The sequence below is a fragment of the Homo sapiens genome, chromosome 10 (assembly GCF_000001405.40).
Source record: "Homo sapiens chromosome 10, GRCh38.p14 Primary Assembly".
Classification (NCBI taxonomy): domain Eukaryota; kingdom Metazoa; phylum Chordata; class Mammalia; order Primates; family Hominidae; genus Homo; species Homo sapiens.
In genome coordinates this window covers 123,752,787-123,774,373 of record NC_000010.11, presented here as the reverse complement: position 1 = coordinate 123,774,373, position 21,587 = coordinate 123,752,787, and the positions used below count along the sequence as shown (strand labels likewise).

General features: G+C 46.1%; 1 protein-coding gene across 7 annotated transcripts in view, besides 2 other annotated features; it reads left to right on the top strand.

Moving 5' to 3' along the window:
- The window catches only part of CPXM2 (carboxypeptidase X, M14 family member 2), a 198,466-nt gene that overhangs the window by 169,731 nt on the left and 7,148 nt on the right, over positions 1-21,587 (top strand). For all 7 annotated transcript variants that reach the window (XM_017015673.2, NM_198148.3, XM_011539285.3 and 4 more), the window contains 6 exons: positions 3,335-3,458; positions 5,652-5,848; positions 7,222-7,401; positions 12,205-12,502; positions 17,022-17,161; positions 19,612-19,711. In XM_017015673.2, the coding sequence (XP_016871162.1) occupies positions 3,335-3,458; positions 5,652-5,848; positions 7,222-7,401; positions 12,205-12,502; positions 17,022-17,161; positions 19,612-19,711 (1,039 nt within the window). The remainder of the gene's footprint in view (positions 1-3,334; positions 3,459-5,651; positions 5,849-7,221; positions 7,402-12,204; positions 12,503-17,021; positions 17,162-19,611; positions 19,712-21,587) is intronic.
- Positions 11,861-12,763: an enhancer, noted in NCBI's record as "H3K4me1 hESC enhancer chr10:125521127-125522029 (GRCh37/hg19 assembly coordinates)". NCBI's record gives its function as "activates a minimal SCP1, AML or CMV promoter by ChIP-STARR-seq in primed H9 embryonic stem cells {active_cell/tissue: H9 hESC(primed)}" and the evidence as "EXISTENCE:reporter gene assay evidence [ECO:0000049][PMID:30033119]".
- Positions 12,764-13,666: an enhancer, noted in NCBI's record as "H3K4me1 hESC enhancer chr10:125520224-125521126 (GRCh37/hg19 assembly coordinates)". NCBI's record gives its function as "activates a minimal SCP1, AML or CMV promoter by ChIP-STARR-seq in naive and primed H9 embryonic stem cells {active_cell/tissue: H9 hESC(naive and primed)}" and the evidence as "EXISTENCE:reporter gene assay evidence [ECO:0000049][PMID:30033119]".

The following is a 21,587-nucleotide window of genomic DNA, read 5'->3' as shown; positions in this document are numbered from 1 at the left end:
CAAGGACATTTTATGGATAATTCGGTTGATCCGATTTTTTGGCAGCTTGCTAGAACGCACTCAGTTCCACGCCACCCCGCTGTGGGCCATGCCCTTCCTCTGTTCTGCATCAATTCAGTTCCAGCTCAGCTTTCAGAAGGCCACGGGCCTCCCTAACGGGCACCTGCCCACCGGCCACCCTGACCAGGATGGCCTTCCTGTGTGTTTCTGCAGCACCTGGGCGTCCTTCCTGGTCTTTAACACACTGTCATGAAATTGTCCCTGGAACCCTCTGGCCCTTACTGCATGGTCAGGTGCCTGGCTCAAAAAAGAGATGCCCTTTGAATCAGATCTTCTTTCACTTGGGTATTGATAAACAAATTTAGCCTAGCAAATCACAGATTTGCAGTGAACTCACAGATACTCATTCAGTGACGCGAGGCAAGGCAGCCTCTAGGGAGAGGGTGTCTCTGGCCTTTGACCTTTAGGGTAGCCTTTTCTCCTGTGACTTGCAGAGCCCTTGGTACCTCCTTTGGCCCCTGGTCTCATTTTCCCAGACCTCAGCTATCAGTGTGATGAGCTGACTAAAAAGGCAAAATTCAGAAAACAGCATGCATTTATTTCACTTCCTTGCTGAAGCCTGCTTTTCCTACCATTTAACCCCATGATTCCTGTTGTCATGGTGACCCAATGCTCTGCTGACTTAGTGGCAATGAACTGGGTCATTGCATGCCTCTTATTGGCTGTGTGCTGCAAGCTCCAGGAGGGAAGGAGCGGTGTGTATTTGCTCAACCCAACAATGTAGATGCTCATTAAATTATGAGAAAAAGTTGATATTAAGATACATGTATTTGGTCAGGCATAAAAGATAAAAGGCTGAGTCTGTCTCCTCAATGATCTGCAGTGTAGTGAGTGGGCAATAAAGAAGCAGGAAATCACAGTGAGAAAAGTAATCACCACCACAGAGGGAGGTGAGAACCACAACGAGGGAAGTGAGATCCACAACAAAGGAAGTGATAACCACAACCAGGGGAATGATGACCACAATGAGGGAGGTGATGACCACAACCAGGGAGGTGATAACCACGACCAGGGAAGTGATAACCACAATGAGGGAGGTGATGACCACAACCAGGGAGGTGATAACCACAACCAGGGAAGTGATAACCACAATGAGGGAGCTGATGACCACAATGAGAGAGATAAAAACCACAACCAGGGAGGCAATAACCACAACCAGGGAGCTGATAACCACAATGAGGGAGGGGGTGACCACAATAACAGCGATAAGAACCACAACCAGAGAGGTGATAACCACAATCAGGGAAGTGATAACCACAACCAGGGGAATGATGACCACAAAGAGGGAGGTGATGCTCACAATCAGAGAGGTGAGAACCACAACAAGGGAGGTGGTGACCACAAACAAGAGAGGTAAGAACCACAACCAGGGAGGTGAGAACCACAACCAGGGGAATGAGGACCACACCCAGGGGAGTGATAACCACAATGAAGGAGGGATGACCACAACCAGAGAGGTGATAACCACAACCAGGGAGGTGATAACCACAACCAGGGAAGTGATAGCCACAACCAGGAAGGTGATAACCACAACCAGGGAGCTGATAACCACAATGAGGGAGGTGGTGACACAATAAGAGTGATAAGAACCACAACCAGAGAGGTGTTAACCACAATCAGGAAAGTGATAACCATGACCAGGGGAGTGATGACCACAAAGAGGGAGGTGATGATCACAGTAAGGGAAGTGATAACCATGACCAGGGGAGTGATGACCACAATGGAGGAGGTAATGACCACAGTAAGGGAAGTGATAACCATGACCAGGGAGGTGATGACCACAACCAGGGAGGTGATAACTACACCCAGGGGAGTGATAACTGCAACCAGGGGAGTGATAACCATGACCAGGGAGGTGACAACTACACCCAGGGAGGTGATAACTACACCCAGGGCAGTGATAACCAGAACAAGGCAGGTGATGATCACAACCAGGGAGGTGATAACCACACCCAGGGAGGTGATAACTGCAAACGGGGGAGTGATAACCATGACCAGGGAGGTGGTGACTACAACCAGGGAGGTGAGAACCACAACAGTGAAGGTGAGAACCACAACCAGGGTAGCGATAGCTATAGCAATGGAGGTGATAACCACAACCAGGGAGGTGATAACCACAACCAGGGAGGTGGTAACCACAACGAAGGAGGTGATGATCACAACCAAAGAGGTAATAACCACAACCAGGGAGGTGATAGCCACAGTCAGGGAAGATGTCACCATAACCAGGGAGTTGATAATCACAACCAAGTATGTGATAGCCACAACCAGAGAGGTGATAGTCACAACTAAGGAAGGTGTATTCCTTCATTCTCATGCTGCTATGAAGAAATACATGAGACTGGGTAATTTATAAAGAAAAGAGTTTTAATTGACTCAGAATTCTGCATGGCTGATAAGGCCTCAGGAAACTTATAATAATGGCGGAAGGCACCTCTTCACAGGGCATCAGGAGACAGAATGAGTGCTGAGTGAAGGGGGAAGCCCCTTAATAAAACCATCAGATGTTGTGAGAACTCACTATCAGAAGAACAGCATGAGGGAAACCACCCCCATGATTCAATTACCTCCCACCCGGTCCCTTTCATGACATGTGGGGATTATGGGAACTATAATTCAAGATGAGTTTTGGGTGGGAACACAGCCAAACCCTATCAGCAAGTATCTCAGTCCATTCATGCTAAAATATTGTAACCTGAGTAGCTTATAAATAACAGAAATCTATTCAGAGTTCTAGAGGTGGGAATGTCCAAGATCAAGTTACTGGCAGATCTAGGGTCTGGTGAGGGCTCACTCTCTGGTTCACAGGGCCGTCATCGTGCTGCATCCTCCCATGGCAGATGGGCAAACAGGCTCCTTTGGGCCTCTTTCGTAAGGACACTAATCACCTCCTAGAGGGCCTAGCAATTCATGCATTGGGCATTAGGTTTCAGCCTATGGATTTTGAGAGACATAACATTTGGAGGATAACAGGAAGTGATAGCCACAACCAAGGGGTGTGGAAAGTACAGGACCGGGTGGGGGCAATGGCCAGGAGTTTCCTCCTAGGGGGACGATGATAGAGCGGGTGCTGGAAGGAAAGTGGGCATTATCCAGGGCAGAGGGATGTAAGGAGAGTGTTCTGGGCAGAGGCGATAGCAGCTGGGGTGTGCAGAATGTGGGGGCGCTTGGGAGGCTGTGGAGGAAAGCAAGAGGTGTCCGTTTTCTTGGGAGCTCTGTCCTTTTAGTGCATCGTCATCAATGCTTAGAGTTTTTGATTCACCTTGTTTTTCAGTTGATGAAAGTTGTGAATGAAATGTGTCCCAATATCACCAGAATTTACAACATTGGAAAAAGCCACCAGGGCCTGAAGCTGTATGCTGTGGAGATCTCAGATCACCCTGGGGAGCATGAAGTCGGTGAGAAGGGCCCCTCTGGGATGCTTGGCCCCTTCATCTTTGGTACTCATGTAAACAGTTAGGAGACTGTTCACCCTATGAGAAGATTCATGCCACAGGGCATCAGCTGTCCACACCACTGCTGTCTCACGTAGACAGATTTTGCCCATGTTGGCTCTGTGAACCACTCATCTTATGATATGGACTATAGAATTATTTACACTGGAAATACCCATCTTTTCTCCAAATGGAGCATATTTCATTCTCTGTCGTCCACCTCTGAGACCAATCACAATAGCCAAAGAAGAAAGTGGCTGAGGTGGGCAGGACAGAATTTCCTCCTCCTTCAGGATTCCCTGATCATTAATGGCTCATATTAGAGGAGCTTCTCCCCATTCTTAAAAAAATTCAATTATATTTTTAGATATTTCCTGTTTTCAGACATTTCCCATTCAGTCACTCCCCAGCCTGCACCTGTATAGGTCAGATGGGCTTCTCTGTTTTTCTTTTTGGTAAATCTGGGAGCTGTTTAGAAATCTGCTGATATTTAGGTGCAAAGATTTGGCTGATTTACTTTAACATTCATCAGGGTCTCAGGAGTTCCTCTCCGGAAGTGGTTTTTTTTGTTTGTTTTGTTTTGTTTGTTTGTTTGTTTGTTTTTTGAGATGGAGTTTTGCTCTTGTTGCCCAGGCTGGAGTGCAATGGCACAATCTCGGCTCATGGAAACCTCTGCCTTCTGGGTTCAAGCAATTCTCCTGCCTCAGCCTCCTGAGTAGCTGGGATTACAGGCATGTGCCACCATACCCAGCTAATTTTTGTATTTTTAGTAGAGACATGGTTTCTCCATGTTGGTCAGGCTGGTCTCGAACTCCCGACCTCAGGTGATCCACCTGCCTTGGCCTCCCAAAGTGCTGGGATTACAGGAGTGAGGCACCACGCCCAGCAGGAGTTTATTTTAAATGGTAAAAACTTTATCTGCTGGTAAAATCACATTTCCTCAAAAGCAGCAGCTTTGCCAATGAGGGAAGGAGATGTGTTGTCAGCTCGAGCCCAGCACTGATAAATGCCAGGCCCTTGTCCTTTCTGACTGCTGTAACAAAATATCAGAGGTTGGGAAATTTCTAAACAACAGAACTTTATTGCTCACAGTTCGGGAAGCTGGGAAGTCCAAGGTTAAGGCACGGGCAGATTCAGTGCCTGGTGAGGGCTGTTCCTCTTAAGACCCCTTCTTGTCTTACATGGCAGGAGCAGAAGGTCAAAAGTGCCTGGCTAGTTCTCTGGAGCCCTTTTATAAGAGGAGTTATCTTTTCATCACCTCTTGAAGGCACCACCTCTTTTATTTTTTTTCTCTTTTTGAGACAGGGTCTCATTCCGTCTCCCAGGCTGGAGTACAGTGGCACAGTCTTGGCTCATTACAACCTCCACCTTTTGGGCTCAAGCAATCCTCCCACCTCAGCCTCCTGAGAAGCTGGGATTACAGGTGTGCATCACCATGCCCAGCTAATTTTTTTTATTTTTGATTTTTGTAGAGTTAGGGTTTTGCCATGTTGCCCAGGCTGGTCTTGAACTCCTGCACTGGTGCCATCTCCCAAAGTGCTGGCATTATAGGTGTGAACCGCTGCGCCCGGCCGGCCCCTCCTCTTAATACTCACATTTGATCTTAAGTTCCAGGATATGAATTTTGGGGGGACACATACATTAAACCATAGCACCCTGAGATTTTAAAAGCTGAGCTTTGAAAGAGAAAATACCTAAAGAAAGCCCACTTTACACTGTGTCACTGCTGATTTGCCCTGATGGACTATTCTCTGCTTATATTCATTTGTCTTTGTTAAACTTAATAGGAAGTTATTTTAAGAAAAATAATTGCCTCCCAAAAGAGAGGCACTGATTGCTACGGCTTGTGCTCAACTTGTGAATGTTAAGCCCTCAGCACTATGTTATTTGATCTGTTCTTGGTACGTAAAAATGGACATTATTCCCCTGTGACAGGTGTCATGTCAGATTTTTCTACACATTTTCTTACATACCTGACTGTCTGGGAATAAGACAGTTGTCCTGATGTCATTTTAGAGGTTTGTTTGAAAGAACAAATAGGTCTAAAACGGTAAGCTTATATTATTCAAGACTTTCCCCCCAACACAATGTGACAAGCACCGTTTGGCCCTAAGTGTTTCAACGTGAACCTGTGCTTCTCTCTGTCTTTGAGTAAAGGTGAGCCCGAGTTCCACTACATCGCGGGGGCCCACGGCAATGAGGTGCTGGGCCGGGAGCTGCTGCTGCTGCTGGTGCAGTTCGTGTGTCAGGAGTACTTGGCCCGGAATGCGCGCATCGTCCACCTGGTGGAGGAGACGCGGATTCACGTCCTCCCCTCCCTCAACCCCGATGGCTACGAGAAGGCCTACGAAGGGGTAATGGCCCTGGCCCATCTCACCCAATAGGACATGGGCAGCGAGGCCCCAGCTCCAGAGTATGTCTGGCCCTAGGGCTATGCAAAATTCCACCTTCCGAGCTTTATTTATTTATTTATTTATTTATTTATTTATTTATTTATTTATTTTTTGAGTCGGAGTCTCCCTCTGTTGCCCAGGCTGGAGTACAGTGGCGTGATCTCCGCTCACTGCAACCTCTGCCTCCTGGATTCAAGCGATTTGCCTCAGCCTCCTAAGTAGCTGGGATTACGGCCGCCAGCCACCATGCCCAGCTAATTTTTGTATTTTTAGTAGAGAGGAGGTTGGCCAGGCTGGTCTCAAACTCGTGACCTAAGGTAATCCGCCAGCCTTGGCCTCCCAAAGTGCTGGGATTACAGGTGTAAGCCACCGTGCCTGGCCACACGAGTTTTATTTTTGAGTGTCTCTGCTGAGGCAGGGAAGCCTACAAGGTTTATGAAAAGTGCAAAGCAGGCATTGAGAATGATGGTGGCCTTGAGAGGTGGACATGCCGACCAACTGGAGGACGTGAAGATGAACATCAATATTGCTATATACACAATGATAATGGAATCCAATAGTAACACTTTATGTTGGCTGAGGACTTAATCATGGCATGTGTTAGCCTTGATTATTACCTTTAATCTTCTCATCAGTCTTCTGAGGATAGTTGTTTTATTATTCTGATACGTTCTTTACATTTTGTGTTCCAGTTATGATATAGAATGTATATAGGTTATAGGTGTGCATAGAATATGCATATGTACAGAATTATGTATAAATAGAACATATAGTTAGTATTATGTTGTGTTGTGTATTGACAGTGATATATCTCAATACCTGGGAATAAAATGGAAAATTATATTAAAACAAGGGTACCTATCAAATGCAAGCTTTACAGTATAGAAATGTGGTCACATTTATTGGTGCAGATATAGTCAGTTAGGAATTTGCATTGCTAAATAGTGAGCCAGAATCATGGGCAGGCAGGGAGAATGCATTACTGTGGTGGCCATTGATGAGTTCATTGCTACTCAGAGGTTCACCTGGCCAGTATAGAAGAGAGGAAGGTAGGGGTGGAAGAAGGAACCTAATGCTTTTTAAGCACTTCCATGTGGCAGGGGTGGTTCTCTGCATTCCCTCTTTGGAGTAATTTGGCTGAACTATCTATCACCCACCAAATATTAATAGGAAGTTTTTCAATATTCTCCTTTAGATGCCATCTTTGGGTCAAAGGGCATCTAGAGGCTTAGAGACATTCCCCAAGGGGAAGTGGAGACAGATGCATCTTGTATGGTAGAGGGTCCGCGTTGTCCTGCAGCCTGTGCATTCTTCACACTCTCACTTGTCTCCAGGGCTCGGAGCTGGGAGGCTGGTCCCTGGGACGCTGGACCCACGATGGAATTGACATCAACAACAACTTTCCTGATTTAAACACGCTGCTCTGGGAGGCAGAGGATCGACAGAATGTCCCCAGGAAAGTTCCCAATCACTATATTGCAATCCCTGAGTGGTTTCTGTCGGAAAATGCCACGGTGAGTCAAAATACCCGTCATCTGTAAAGCAGCCAAAGGCAAGGCTTAACCTCCATTGGTATTTGCAGAGGATAGCACATTTAAGAAAGAGACAAAACTGTTTTTTTCTTTCATGTTTTCTCCAAAAGCAGAGAAGTATGCTAGATAATAACTACCTTTTAGGTGGATATTTGGGGAGATTCTTCATAGAGGAGAAATCATCTAATTGTATTTCTTAACAAGCACATGGAGCTTCAAAACCCAAACAATCTCCCCTGAATTGCACATGTTTGTTACTACCTTTATTATCTTTCTCACTGTCGGTTATATTACTAAGAAGTTATCCTTAGCCCTCACTGATTGCTTAATGTATCTTATTTTTTATTTTAGTACATCCCCTTGGGTTTACTACATGTGGTGTTTCTTTGGAAAGAAAAATGAAATTAGATGAGAAATATTTCCCCAGATTTCTTAGGTCTTGTTTTACAAAGAGTATGTTGTAGAAGAAATAATTCTCCCATACCTCTTATTATCTTTCCTGGTCATCATAGTTGAGCTCCTTACTCTGATTCTTTGATCTTAAACACCCTTCAAGAGTTCTACCTTTGTTGATATATAAGTTAGTGTTAGGTTCAGCTGCAGCAACAGAAAAATCAAAATAGTGCCTTAACAAGGTAAAAGTTTCTTTCTTTCTTCACATAAAAGTACCCTGGAAGCCAGCCAAGGGCGTGCCAAGTAGAAACCTGGTAATCATCAGGAACCCAGGATTCATCTCTCTCTCTCTGTCTCTGCCATGTCAGCATGTGACACTCATCTTCAAGGTCATAATCCAGGGTGGCAGCTGGTGCTCCAGCTGTCACGTCTCTGAAGGAACAGGAGAGAAAGGGCTTGGGGAAAAGAAAAAGTTTTCTCTCAGGTAATTCAATTTCCTATAAGCGGTTCTACATACTACTTCTGCTTAACTCTCACCTGCCAGAATTCAGTTGCATGTGGTATCAACCACTGCAAGGAAGGCTGGGAAATGCTATATTTTAGACAAGCATATTGCAAGCTCAAAACAAACAAACAACAACAACAAAAGATCGGACTTCTACTGGGGATTCAAGGGAGCTGGAGACAGGACAGCTGCTCTCCCTTGGCGTTCCAGCCCCCAGCACAGCACATGTGGGTGCCACGTACTGGAGGAGGAGCAGCAGGGTGGGCTCCTTTAGTAACTCACAGTACGGGGTCATCCAGGCCCTCCAGAAGTGAGCAGTAGGGTGATGAAGACAGACGGCGGCAATGCCACTTGGTTCAGTTAGGATGCCCAAGGGTGCTGATGTGGGCAGTAGACTAGGGAGGCCCCTGAGTCTTCCATCTTCTAAATCTGCTCTCATGTTTCCCACAGAACCTGTTTTAGTTGTTTTTTGTTCATTTGTTTGTTTTTCCACCTAACATCCTAATGACACCTGGCAAAGTTGAGAATTCGAGCTATGTTATACTTTGGGAACACTTAGACCAAAATTGGAATTTGGTTGCCAGCTTTCTTAGCCACTAGGCTATAAGATCTAAGTAATCCTTTTAGCACAACTGTACAGAGTCTCTGGATGTTCAGTCTTTGCTTTTAGACTAGAATTTAGTTATTTGAGCTTGTTGTCTAGAACTACAAGGAGAATTACACAATTCTATCATCACCAAAACTTTTCTCAATTGTGGATAGATTAGATAGATAAGAAATCAGCAAAGATAAAGATTTGAATAACAAGGCTAACAGGTTTGACATAAGGGACGTATAAGAATTCTATAACCAATGATTAGAGAATATTCTTCTCAATAATCCTGTAACATTTTAAAAAATTGATGATAAACTGGGCTTATAAGGGAAATCTCAACAAATTTCAGAGAATAGGTGTCAGACAGACCTTGTCTCACCACCATACAATTAAACTGGAAGGTTGTAATAAGATTAATGAAAACCTCATCATGTATTTAGAAAATAAAAAACTTCTAAAGAATAAGTCAAAGAAAAAAATACTGGCAACTAAAAAATAATTAGAACTGAATAATAATGAAAATATTGCATATGAAAATTTGTGGATTACAGCAAAGAATAGTGCTTTAGGGAAATTTATAACTTTAAGTTCTTACATTGCAAAAGAAGGCTGAGAGTTAACTAACTTAAGAAGTTAGCAAATAAATAAATAAATTAATTAATTAATAACAGAAGAAACCCAAAGAAAGGGAGATTAATTTAAAAACAAGGGTATTGGGAGGCTTAGACAGGCAGATCACTTGAGGTCAGGAGTTCAAGACTAGCATGGCCAACATGGTGAAACCCTGTCTCTACTAAAAATACAAAAATTAGCCAGGCATGGTGGTGCACAACTGTGGTCCCAACTACTTGGGAGGCTGAGGTAGGAGGATCGCTTTAACCTGGGAGGTGGAGGTTGCAGTGAGCTGAGATTTTGCCACTGCACTCCACCCTGGGCAACAGAGTGAGACCCTGTCTCAAAAAAAAATTATAATACATAAAATAAATAAAAAGCAAGGGCAAAAATCAATGAAATGATAGGAAACAAAGAAATAATATGAAGTGATTTGTCTATAGAAAGGTGTGTTTGACAAAATTTAACAATTATTCACAATACTATCTCGCCAAATTTTGAATATAGCTTTTAGTGTAAGGGAGGCTATTTTAGGTAAGATACAAATGGCATTAATCATAAAAGATTAGTAAATTCGACTACATGGAGATAAGAAAGCCTGTTCATCAAAAGATTTGAAAAACTGTGACAAGCTACAAATTGGGAGGAGTTATTTATAAATTATATAACTGAGAAAGTTGAAAATTTAAAAGCTGAAGAATAACAAATAATAAAAATATGAACAATTCAGTAGAAAAATGGACAAAAGGTAAGAGAGGAGGAAACAGAGTTAATAAACATGACAAGATGTTCTACCTCACTAGTACTAAGGAAACGCAGATGAGAGAACATTATATGTCCATTGTTTGGCAAAAGTAAAAAGCCCCCAGTGTGGGAGGGAATATGGGACAGTAGATTTCTTATACATTGCGGGTGAGTATACACTGGCATAATGATTTTGGAAAGTAACTTGATTATCTTGTAAAGTAGAATATTTCTATATCGTATGCCTCTGCAATTTCACTTCTGGTGATATGTGCAAGATAAATTCCAACACATATGTACCAGAAGACAGTAAAAGAAAGTTCAAAGCAACACTGTTCGTTATAGCAAAAGATTGAAAATTACCAATGCCCGTCATCTAAGAATAGGTATTAACACATTAAATGAGATCGCCATATTGAAGTGAAAAAAGCCTGGAAATAGCTTTATTCAACAATAGGATGAATCTGGGAACCACAAAACTAAGTGGGAGGAAAAAAGAAATTGCAGAAGGCAACCAGCAGTATAGTTGCGCCCCTCTGCCCCCGCCTTTTTTTTTTTAGATCAAAAGCAAGTAAACCCAAACGATATATTTTGAGGTATACACATATGGGATAAAACAAAAGAGACAGAATGAGAATCACATCACTTAGGATACAGTGGGTGCCTCCGAGTGGGAGGCAGGAGGGTGGATAGGTAGGATGGTGTAGGCACACACAACAGAAATTGTTAGTGAGGTCTGTGGTTGGATGGTGGGTTCACAGGTGTTTTCCATATTGAAATAAATAACAGAAGGGAATCCCAGCACTTTGGGAGGCTGAGGCGGGCAGATCACGAGGTCAGGAGATCGAGACCATCCTGGCCAACATGGTGAAAACCCATCTCTACTGCAACACGAAATATTAGCCAGGCGTGGTGGTGTGCACCTGGAGTCCCAGCTAGTCAGGAGGCTGAGGTAGGGGAATCGCCTGAACCCGGGAGGCGGAGGTTGCAGTGAGCCAAGATCGCGCCACTGCACTCCAGCCTGGCCACAGAGCAAGACTCCGTGTGAAATAAATAAATAAAACCAGAGGGGGACCAAGCACAGACCAACAGTGATGCTGTGCAATGAATTAAGCTCTCTCATTGGTCCAATCCAGGGCCCCTGATGTGTTTAAACAGAAACAGCAACACTTAATGAATCCCAAGTCCATTTCATCCCTTACTCAGTTTTCTGTACTGCATGGTGAAATGATTTCCAATATCTGTTCTTTGTCATTGTCGATTTGATCTTACTGAGATTATCTTCACAGGGATTAGCAATTTATGATAAATACTTGCTTCACTGATCAATGTTTGACCATATCAAACTTTCAAATTTTAGCTTTTAACATCGTTTTCTTTTTTTCTTGAATTTCATTCTTAAACGATGTCAAACATACAGAATTAGGGAGGAAGCTGCCCAGGATCGCCATGGACCCATCTCAGCTCTGACACTTAACCAGTTCCTGTTTCATCCACATCTTTCCTCTCTTTCTCCTCCTCCCCCAGATTACTGAAGCTAAACCCAGGCATCATAGCATTTCCTTTGTAAAGATTTCAGTAGGTATCTCTAAAAAATAAAGGCACTCTTTTACAAACATAAGGCATTACCATTATTATATCAAAATAAAATATTCCTTAATATTGTCAAGTATCTGGTCAGTGCTCACATTTCCCCTGTTATTCCCCCCTCCCCAAGGTTGTTTAAATCAAGATCCAAACAAAGCCTGTTCGTTTTGATTGGTTTATGAGTCTTTCTAAGTCTCCTTCACATTTTCCCAGAATTGGTTTTGAAATTCTGAACTTTACTAAGATTATTCCACAAAAGCACTGCTTTTTCGACTATGTCCCTGTTTGACAGCTGGGGAGATAAAATGACTTCCTGCTTATTTTACTCGTCCATTTGGGATGTTCACAGGTGGCTGCCGAGACCAGAGCAGTCATAGCCTGGATGGAAAAAATCCCTTTTGTGCTGGGCGGCAACCTGCAGGGCGGCGAGCTGGTGGTGGCGTACCCCTACGACCTGGTGCGGTCCCCCTGGAAGACGCAGGAACACACCCCCACCCCCGACGACCACGTGTTCCGCTGGCTGGCCTACTCCTATGCCTCCACACACCGCCTCATGACAGACGCCCGGAGGAGGGTGTGCCACACGGAGGACTTCCAGAAGGAGGAGGGCACTGTCAATGGGGCCTCCTGGCACACCGTCGCTGGAAGTAAGCCTCCCTCTGGGGGAGAGTGGGCTGCGGGCGCAGGAGGACGCTGCAGGGGTCTCCTCCTGGCCCTCCTGGTGTCACTACTGTCCTGTTGTCACTAAGTGGTGGCTGCCACGGTGGAGCACTTAGGACCTGCCAGCACTTTCCTAAGCACAACACTCAGGCTCTCCTTCCATCCTTGCCCCAGTCTCACTTTCCAGTGCTCAAAGGAGGTAACTGGGGCTGGAGACCCAAAGGGATCTGCTCCAGCAAGAAAGGCACAGGGCTGGGGTCTCTGACTCCGTGGCCTGTGCTTAGCCTCCAAGCTATTCAGATTTGATAGGGTTAGAGATGGGTAAAATTGGAGTTAATGGCGATATTGGACAACAACAAAAAGAAACCCCAACCCAGTGAAGGGGTGGAGAGCATGCTGGTGCTGGCGCTGGAGCCCAGGTTTTTCTTATCTTAGCTGTAAGAGCTATTCTGTTCTTGGGTGATGTCCTGTGTGTAAACCCACAGAGGGGGCCAGGCATCCATCCCAAGCTCAGCTGTGAAGGGACTCTGAGCTGCAGACTGAACCTGTGGTGAGGACGGTTCCATTCATACCTGCTGTCCTCCAGCGGCCAGCGGGACGGCCCGTCACACTCATACCCACAGCCTGCGGTCAACGCCGACTGTGTGCTGCATGGGGAATTCAAAGTTTTGCTCCTGGCATCCACTCAGGACTGTAGAGGCTCCCAGGAGAGACTTCAGAAATTCCCTTACAGCAGCCAGAGGGCCCCGCGGTCCACATGTCAGGACAAGCACTTTGTTTCCTGTCTCAGGGCTGTTCCCTAAGCCAGGAGGGATGAGGACGTCCCATTTCCGAAGTCCCTCTGCATTGACTGCAGGACCCCAGGCATAATGCTTCTTGCTTGTTTCCTTCCTTTTGTGAGGGTTGGTCAAGACGATGAATTTGCAAAATATTTTCATGTCAGACTGGGGGTTCAAATCCCACTCTATCACTGGCCCTGCTGTGTGATCCAGGGCCAGTTACTTAACCTCTCTGAACCCTTGCACTTTTTCATTTGTAAAAACGGGCATGATGATGAAGAGGAGGAGGAGGATGGTGGTGGTAGTACCAGCTCCCTCTAGGAAGCTGTGAGGATTACGCAGGTGGAAGATGTGGATGTGCTTGACGTGTGGCTCACAGAAACAGTCGTGATAAGTTCCCATCCCCTGCGGACTCCCCTCTGCAGTAACACGGCTGCTGTGAAACCTCAAATGAGCACATCCTTATTGTCGGTTTCACTGTACTGATAAGCATCAATATTATTTGACTTTGTTAGAAACTCAGCCTTCACATACTTTTGAAGTATGTTCCCACCCTTGGGAAAAGAAAAACAAAGTAGAAATACTTGTTTCCCTGGCCATTTTAAAACATGTACAGAAAGCTTGAAGTTTTTCCCTTTTACAGACCAAGCGGAGGCATTTTATCTAAATCCATCATGGTTTTATCTTGTATGAAATAAAAAAAAATGCAAATCTCTATCTATCAAGAAGAATTCCTAATGGCAAAAAACATTCTTGCTTTTCAAGTTTTTAGCCCTAAAAACCCACCTACCAAAAGCTTTAAGTAAAATACCTGTTTATTTTTTATGGCTGCTGTGACTAAATTGGGCACGGGCACACCTGGATTCCGCAGTGTTGGTCACTCATAACATTTTGCGAAGTTGGCTGCCGCACAAGCACATAGGTAGCGTTTGATTTTTTTTCTATCCATTATATTTGCCATTATTTCTGGGACTTCACGGCAGAGCCATGCGGTAGCTTGAGCCTTTTTAATCATTCATCTTCCTGACAGTGTGATGAAGTCTGCAGATTCATTGCATTGTAGATTAATGAAATGTGACTTGTAATTTCCTTTCCTCCCCCTCCCTCTCCTCTCCACCTTTTTGTTCCATTTTTTTTCTCACTCATTAGCTGTGCCCTGCCAGGCACTAGTTAATGGGGAGTGGCCCAGTTGAGAGCAAGGGTCAATGCATTTTGAAATGCACATTGTTTGGAGTGTGTGTGCTTTCACTCCAGACTCCTGTGACCCTCTCTGTTCCTGCAACCCTGCACCTTCTCCTCCACGGTGAAGGCAGGTGTCGTGGTAGCATCAGATGCACAGAGCTGTAAGGAATGCGGCTGTGCCTTCCCTGCTGAAGCTGGTGACAAGAGAAAGATGCCAGTCAGGGAGAGAACACAAAGGAATGTCTCACCACCCCAGCTAGGGCCGAAGGCTTGTGAAGAACTGTCTGGGGCACGTCATGGCCCCTTGTTCACACACTTCAGACAGGAAGTCGCATTTTGCTTTTGAAGCCCTTCTCTGGCCACGTATTCTCAGCAAGGCGATACACTCTGGAAGGCTGGCAGGCAGCAGCAAGACAGCATGGCCCAAGCTTCTCCACCTCCCTCTGGTTTCTCATTTTGCCAGTTCTTCTAAAGCTTCCTATGCTCTGAAGACACATATTGCAAAATGGCAGGCTCACTCCAGAATGTTTAAATATCGCATTTATTTCAGTGCTAATGAGGACGAAAAGGGTGGAAGTGACAATCATTTTCTCTGTAGACAGGTGTTCAGCTCTCCCGGAAAGCTGAAACCTGTGCTCCCTGGTGGTTTGTTGCCCCCTGGCCTTCTTGCACTGTCTGTAATTCCATACTGCAGGTTTGACCGAAGGAATTTTGACCAATCTCCTTCAATGAGACCGGGGCCCATGTGAGGGATTTTCCATTGACTTGGCTCTGTCCCACCCTTTTTATTCCACTGCTCTCACTGCAAACACGCTCACTGTGTTTCATCACAGGCTTGATCAGAGGCCCGTTGCTGATGACGTGTGAAAGGTTCGAATCTGGAATTGGGTAGAGAGTGGCTGTATACTTAATGCCATTTTGCCTCTGCCTTCAGTGACCAGGCAGCAGATTGATAGAGTTGCTCTTGACACCCCAAAGCCATGGTTTTGATACTGAGCATCGCAGGAGAGGGTTCCTTCTGGTGCACTAAGTGAGAATGAAGGAAAGTTGTCCAAGGCACAGAACACTCCTGCTTTCTGTGACCCTGACCCTAGAGCCCAGGGAGGGTGGTCAGAGGGGCCTTCTACTGGGTGAGTCGCGCAGAGTGCAGCTTGCTAATCATCATCCTGTTCAAAAACAGAAATGCTGGGAAGGAAGCCACTGGTACTTCATGCCATCAAACACTCATTTATTTATTTCACAAATGTTGAATAGTATAGTGGGCGGGTTGGTGGCCTCCCCAGAAGATAATGTCTGCTTTCTAGAACCCCACACCTGGGAATGTTAGCTTATTTGGAAAATGAGTTTTGGCAGGTATCATTATATTCAAGGTCTCCAGATGGGGTCACCCTGTGTTACCTGGATGGGCCTTAAGATCAGTGGGAAGTGTCCTTGTAAGGGACAGAAGCAAGACAGAAGAAGAGAAGCCCGTATGAAGACAGAGGCAGAGAGCTGAGTGATGTGGCCTCAAGACAAAGAATGCCAGGGGGCCCCCAGAAGCTGCAAGAGTCAAGGAAGGCTCCTCCCCTAGAGGAGGCCCCCACTTCTAGAGGTTTTGGAGGGACCACAGACACCTTGATTTCAGACTTCTGGCCTCTGAGACTTTGAGAGAATAAATTTCTGTTGCTTTAAGTCAACCATTTGGTGGTAATTTGTATTATAACAGCGGCCCTAGGAAATGAGTCCAGACACCGACTACACATTAGGCTGGGGCTTCCTGTCCTGCTGTCGTCATGCCAGGAGGCAGAAGGCTTGTCTGCTTTCAGGCATACTGGGAGAGTGGGTTTGCCTACGAGTCCCCAAGCAGCGATGGTCTATTCGGAGCTGTGGGCAAGGGCATGCAGACCTGGGCCCAAACCCTGACTCTGGCCCTTTCCAGACACATACAAGGTCCTGGGTACTATTCTTCCCCTTCTCAACCTCAATTTTCCTATTTGTAAAATTGTGCTGTGTTGCCTACCTCTGCTGGGTTTGGGGTGAAAATTAAGTAACCTAATGGCTGCAGAGTGCTTAGGACAGATCCTGGCTTATAGGAGGCACTTGGCAAACAGTGGTTAAGGATCGCAGTTTTTGGAATCAAAATAGAAGACTGTCATAGAGCTATAGCTGAGACAGCACAACTGTAGAGATAAACTTAATCAAACACTTAAAACCTATAGTGTTCATGAATGATAGCTTTACTCCAAAAAGGAGCATTAAACTTTTTTACTTTAATAAAGTATTTTATCTAAATAGCACTTATTTCAATTCTTCTTTTGTCAAAGACACACTTCCATGTGTCTGTCCTCACCACAAACCATTCCGGCTGCATCTTCTCTCCAAACTCTTTCTAACTCACACACATTTGCTCTAATGCAAATTTTTGTCTATAGTAGATACTTCATATCTCCCTGTTTAAACAAGGCCTTCCGAATGTTCTTAAACATCCTTGCTGCCCGCTGTGCCGCATTCCCCAGTGCCATTTTGAGTATTGTTCAGTTAAAGTGTTGTCCGGTTGGCTTGGCAGGTCTGAACGATTTCAGCTACCTTCATACAAACTGCTTCGAACTGTCCATCTACGTGGGCTGTGATAAATACCCACATGAGAGCCAGCTGCCCGAGGAGTGGGAGAATAACCGGGAATCTCTGATCGTGTTCATGGAGCAGGTATATTGCGGGTGTGTGGCTGGGATGAGGGGGACTAGCTGGGGGATGAGGCTGCCGAGGTGGCTGAAAGTATGGGATGGAATTAGAGCTTCAGACCTTGGCCGTCATCCTGGGCCAGCACAGTGCTGCGAGGAGCCACTGTGTGTTGACACTTGAGCAGGCCTCAGGGAAGAGAGCTCTAAACCAATGGTCATTGTCCCCACTGGCCTGGAGCAATTGGGACTGGTTCCTGAGCTCTCTGATGCTGCTCCGCAGGGAACAGGTGCTATGTGTTTGAGCCAATGTGCCCAGGCCCCTCGTCTCAGTCTACGCTGGCTGCCATCACAAAACACCAGGTGGCTTACAAGGCAGACTTGCAGCTCTGGAGGCCGGAAGTCCGAAACCAAGCCATCCACAGGGTCGGTGTCCTCGGAGGCTTGTCTCCTCGGCTGCCATCTTGCCACCTCTTCATGTGGTGGTTATCCCTCTGTGCATGCACCTCTGTGTATGAGTCCAAATTTCCTCTTCTTAGGAGGATGCCACCTTAACAGCCTCCTTTTCCCTTAATTACCTCTTCGAAGGCTCCGTCTGTACATAGTCACATTCTGAGATACTGGGGTTAGGGCTTCAACATATGAATATGGGGGTCGGGGTGGGGTGGGGACACAACTGAGTCCCTAACACCCTCCCAGGCCTTCAGAGTCACTGTTGCAGGTGGCAGAGGTGAATGACCTGGGAGCAGCTTTAACAAGTACCGCTGGGCTCTGCTGCCCAGCTGGGGAGGGGCTGCTGCTGCCTCCGCTGAGAACCTTGGACACCTCCCTGCCGTAGGCTGTCAAGGACACATCCATCTTGCAGCATTAGTGAATTCACCAGTTCTAGTTCTGCAACTAACCAAACAGTATCCGGGCCCCACTAAGGAACAGACTACCTGGAAAGTAATGGATTAAACAGAAACAAGTGTCAAGCCTCAGGGCTCCTGTTTTTTTCTAAGTGTTAATTCTGACTCCACCTTAACCTCCATCCATTAGGAAGTAAGACTCTGAGGCTGGACACAAGGTTCCCCTTCCATGGGTTGTGCTCAGGAGTCAGAAGGCACATTCAGCCCATGGCTTTGGCTGGCACTTTTGGCTGCACTTCTGCACAGGGGGCAGAGGTTGGCACCAGGATTTAGCATCTGACTCTGTCCCATGATGGTCTTGGGATACCCAGCCCCCGGTGAGCTGCTCTGGCACAGAAGGGTGTGAGTCTGTTTTTCCTTCTTTGGGGAACCTCTCACTCAAGGAATTCCTGTTCCCACCCTGGAATTTTGTAAGAGAAGGCCCTTTTTCTTTTGCATCCCTGTAAAGAGAAAGACTTGACTGTAACAACCTGATCAGTCTTAAGTAATGATGCCATAGCCAAAGGGCCTCCTATGGATAAAATGCCCAGTCCTCGAAATATGCGTAAAGTCATTGGTAATGATGGAATGTCACCTTGGATTGGCACATCATTCTACAGGTGGGGAAACTGAGGCATAAGGTTTGAGTGCATCGCATGACACAAGTCATTGGAAGGGTCTATGCATGGAGTTGTCATCTATAGGAAGGTTTCTTTGAATTGTTTCTTTTCCCTCTGACTTTTAAGTCAGCAAGTCCCACAAAGTCAAAATAAATGTGCCTATAAAAATTAAATTTCAGTTTTTAGTAAATGTGTTTCTGTGAACCGTCTCAGATCCTAATATTTTTTAAGCCTCTGGACATTCTAATGGAAGACTTTCTGGTGCAAGAACCCAAAAGAAATGCAGAAGTTTACATTCCAAATCCACACAGAGCCAGGCAATCCTATAACTGGAGGACTCCTATTTTTCTAAGAGATAATTTAACTGGCTTTTTTCTCTTCTTTCCTCCTTTCTCCTTTCCCCTGCTTCCCACTTAGCCCTTTTTGAAATGCAAAATAACCTGTCACTTCCCCCTCAGCAGACATTCCCTGCAGGACAAGCTCATCTGTGCTCCAAGGCAGACCACCCACCTCCAGGGGCTGGCCTCAGAGGGCATGCCGAAAGCATGCCCATTGGCTACTTCTACAACTTATTTCTGCCCAGGAAGGTGCCAGCTCAACTATCTGGTAGATAAGACACCAGGCTAGCAGGGGGACCGCTGCCCTTGCTCACTAGCCCCCTCCCCTTATAAAAGTATCAGCTTTTTGCTCCAAAGGATAAGTGGCACATTTTAAAGCAGGATGCTTCCCTAATGCTAGCTTCAGAAATAAGTTCACTTTTCTTACATTAAGACCTCGCCCTTGTTAATTGAACCCAACAATGCAGTGAGCAATGAACTGCTTTTCGGTTCCAAGCCTTCTGAGCAAGACGTGGTGCTGTGTGAGTTCTTGGTGGGAACCGGCCAATGGTGGGTTGACAGCCCACTCTGTTGTGCCGGTTGTGTCCAGAGCTGGTCGGTGACCTCACCCTGTGTCTCATGTTTGCTGAGCAGGTTCATCGTGGCATTAAAGGCTTGGTGAGAGATTCACATGGAAAAGGAATCCCAAACGCCATTATCTCCGTAGAAGGCATTAACCATGACATCCGAACAGGTAACTGCAAATGTGTGCAGACTGTCTCTTGGTAAGAAATACCCATTTTTTTAGGCATTTTACTTGGGTTACAATCATGAAATGACTGCCAGAAATGTCTTACTCAGAGCCAAATTACAGTCTCCTTCCTCTAAATTTCCCACTTTTCAAGAGACCCTTGGAAGGGAGGTTTTCAGCCTGTGCTTGCTGGTTGCTCGCTGTCCCTTTCACAGGATGGCTGTGCAGCCACCAGCTGGCCTCCAGGCACAGTGGAAGTTTCTAAGGAGTTGAGGAAGCAGCTCTGTCTCCATGGAGTTGTTGCATCTGCAGGCAGCTTAGCTCTCAGACCAGGTGGAATGTGGCCTGTGTCCATGAGTGCAGAGGGGCCAGGGAGCGAGGGAGCCAGGCTGCTCCGGAGAGGGAGAAGCTGTAGACTGGGTGACTTGTGGAGGAGTGGAGAGTTTGAAGGGACCAGCAGCAAGAGGACAGCTGGAGGGGTGGGTTGGGACTGGCCAGAGAGGATGCACTTTTTCCATTAAAGCACAGGAAATCACTGAGCGTGATGTCTTAGGAAGACTCAGGTGTCTGTAATGTGAAGGGTAGGATAAGAATAACAGTAACAATAAACGTGGGCATCTCCTATATGCCACTCTCTTAATAGCTTTCTTGTATTAGCTCTGTCATTTAACTCCATCATTCCTCACATAAATTGTATTTTCTTGATGCTGTCATTAGATGAAATGCTTCAGGGAGACTCAGCTCCCACTCACTGGAAGGGATGAGTGTCTCATGGTGTTAACTAGTCAGGGTTAGTACGCGTGATTCCCTTTTGAATGGAGGGTACAAAATTCTAGGAACTTGGATAATCTGAGGGTCAGAGGATGATCTCTAAAAGGCAGTGCTGACATCTTATTCCAACTCTCTTTGCTGTGGAAGAAAAGAAATTGTAAGACCCAGGGTTTTATAAACCAAATATGAAGTGGCCGTACCACGTCAGGACAGCAGAAGGCTGCCCCTGGATCACTCAGCAACAGCAGGAACAAGGAGCTGTTCCCCACACGATCTGTTCTCAAAGAACGCTCATACATGCTTTCTCTCAGTTGTTTTCACTTTATCCCTTTGAGGGAGACAGGCCATTCTTTCCCACTTATTCAGGTGAAAAACAGAAGCTCAAGGAGGGCAGTGACCCACTGATGGTTAAGGGGTTAGTGGGGTTTGGCTTCAGGTTTCTGACCCCCAGGTGGGCTGGAAGATGCCCTGCAGGTGCCCCTCAGGGTCCCAGAGGACTCTGCCCTGTTCTTTGCTGGTTAGAAAGTGATATGAAAATAAAGGTGCTTGACAAGTCCAGGTTTTTCTTTTGTGCCACAGGGCTGTCATGACCTGGGATTCCCCACTTAAAACTGAAAATGCTGTGTCCCACTCCCCACCTCTGTCCTAGGCAAACAGGGCTGACTGTCCCATGATCTGACTTCCCACTGATCCCCGTGGACTGACACTACACGGGGGTCATCACTGCGGCGCCTCTGTCCACCTGAACCTTCTTCCCCGGGGGGTCTCTGGGTTCCTGCCTCCTCCCTTTCAGGTCTTTGCTCAGACGTCACCCTCTCAGTGCAACCAACCCTGACCCCTATGAGCATGGCACACCTCCCCGCTGCACTGTTGGTCCCTCTTACCTGCCCCAACTTTGTCCCTTCCCCGTGGCATGTCTCCCTTCTAACACACCACGTAAGAGGCTCATGTGTACTCTGCTCATGATTTGTTTCTGTCTCTTCGCCCCCATGAGGTCAGGAGCCCTTGACTGTTTTGTTGGTTTGTTCCTCAATGTATTACGAGCACCCTGCCTGGCCACTTCTGAGCAGTGGATGCTCGATAAATACTTGTTGGTGAATGGGCGGAT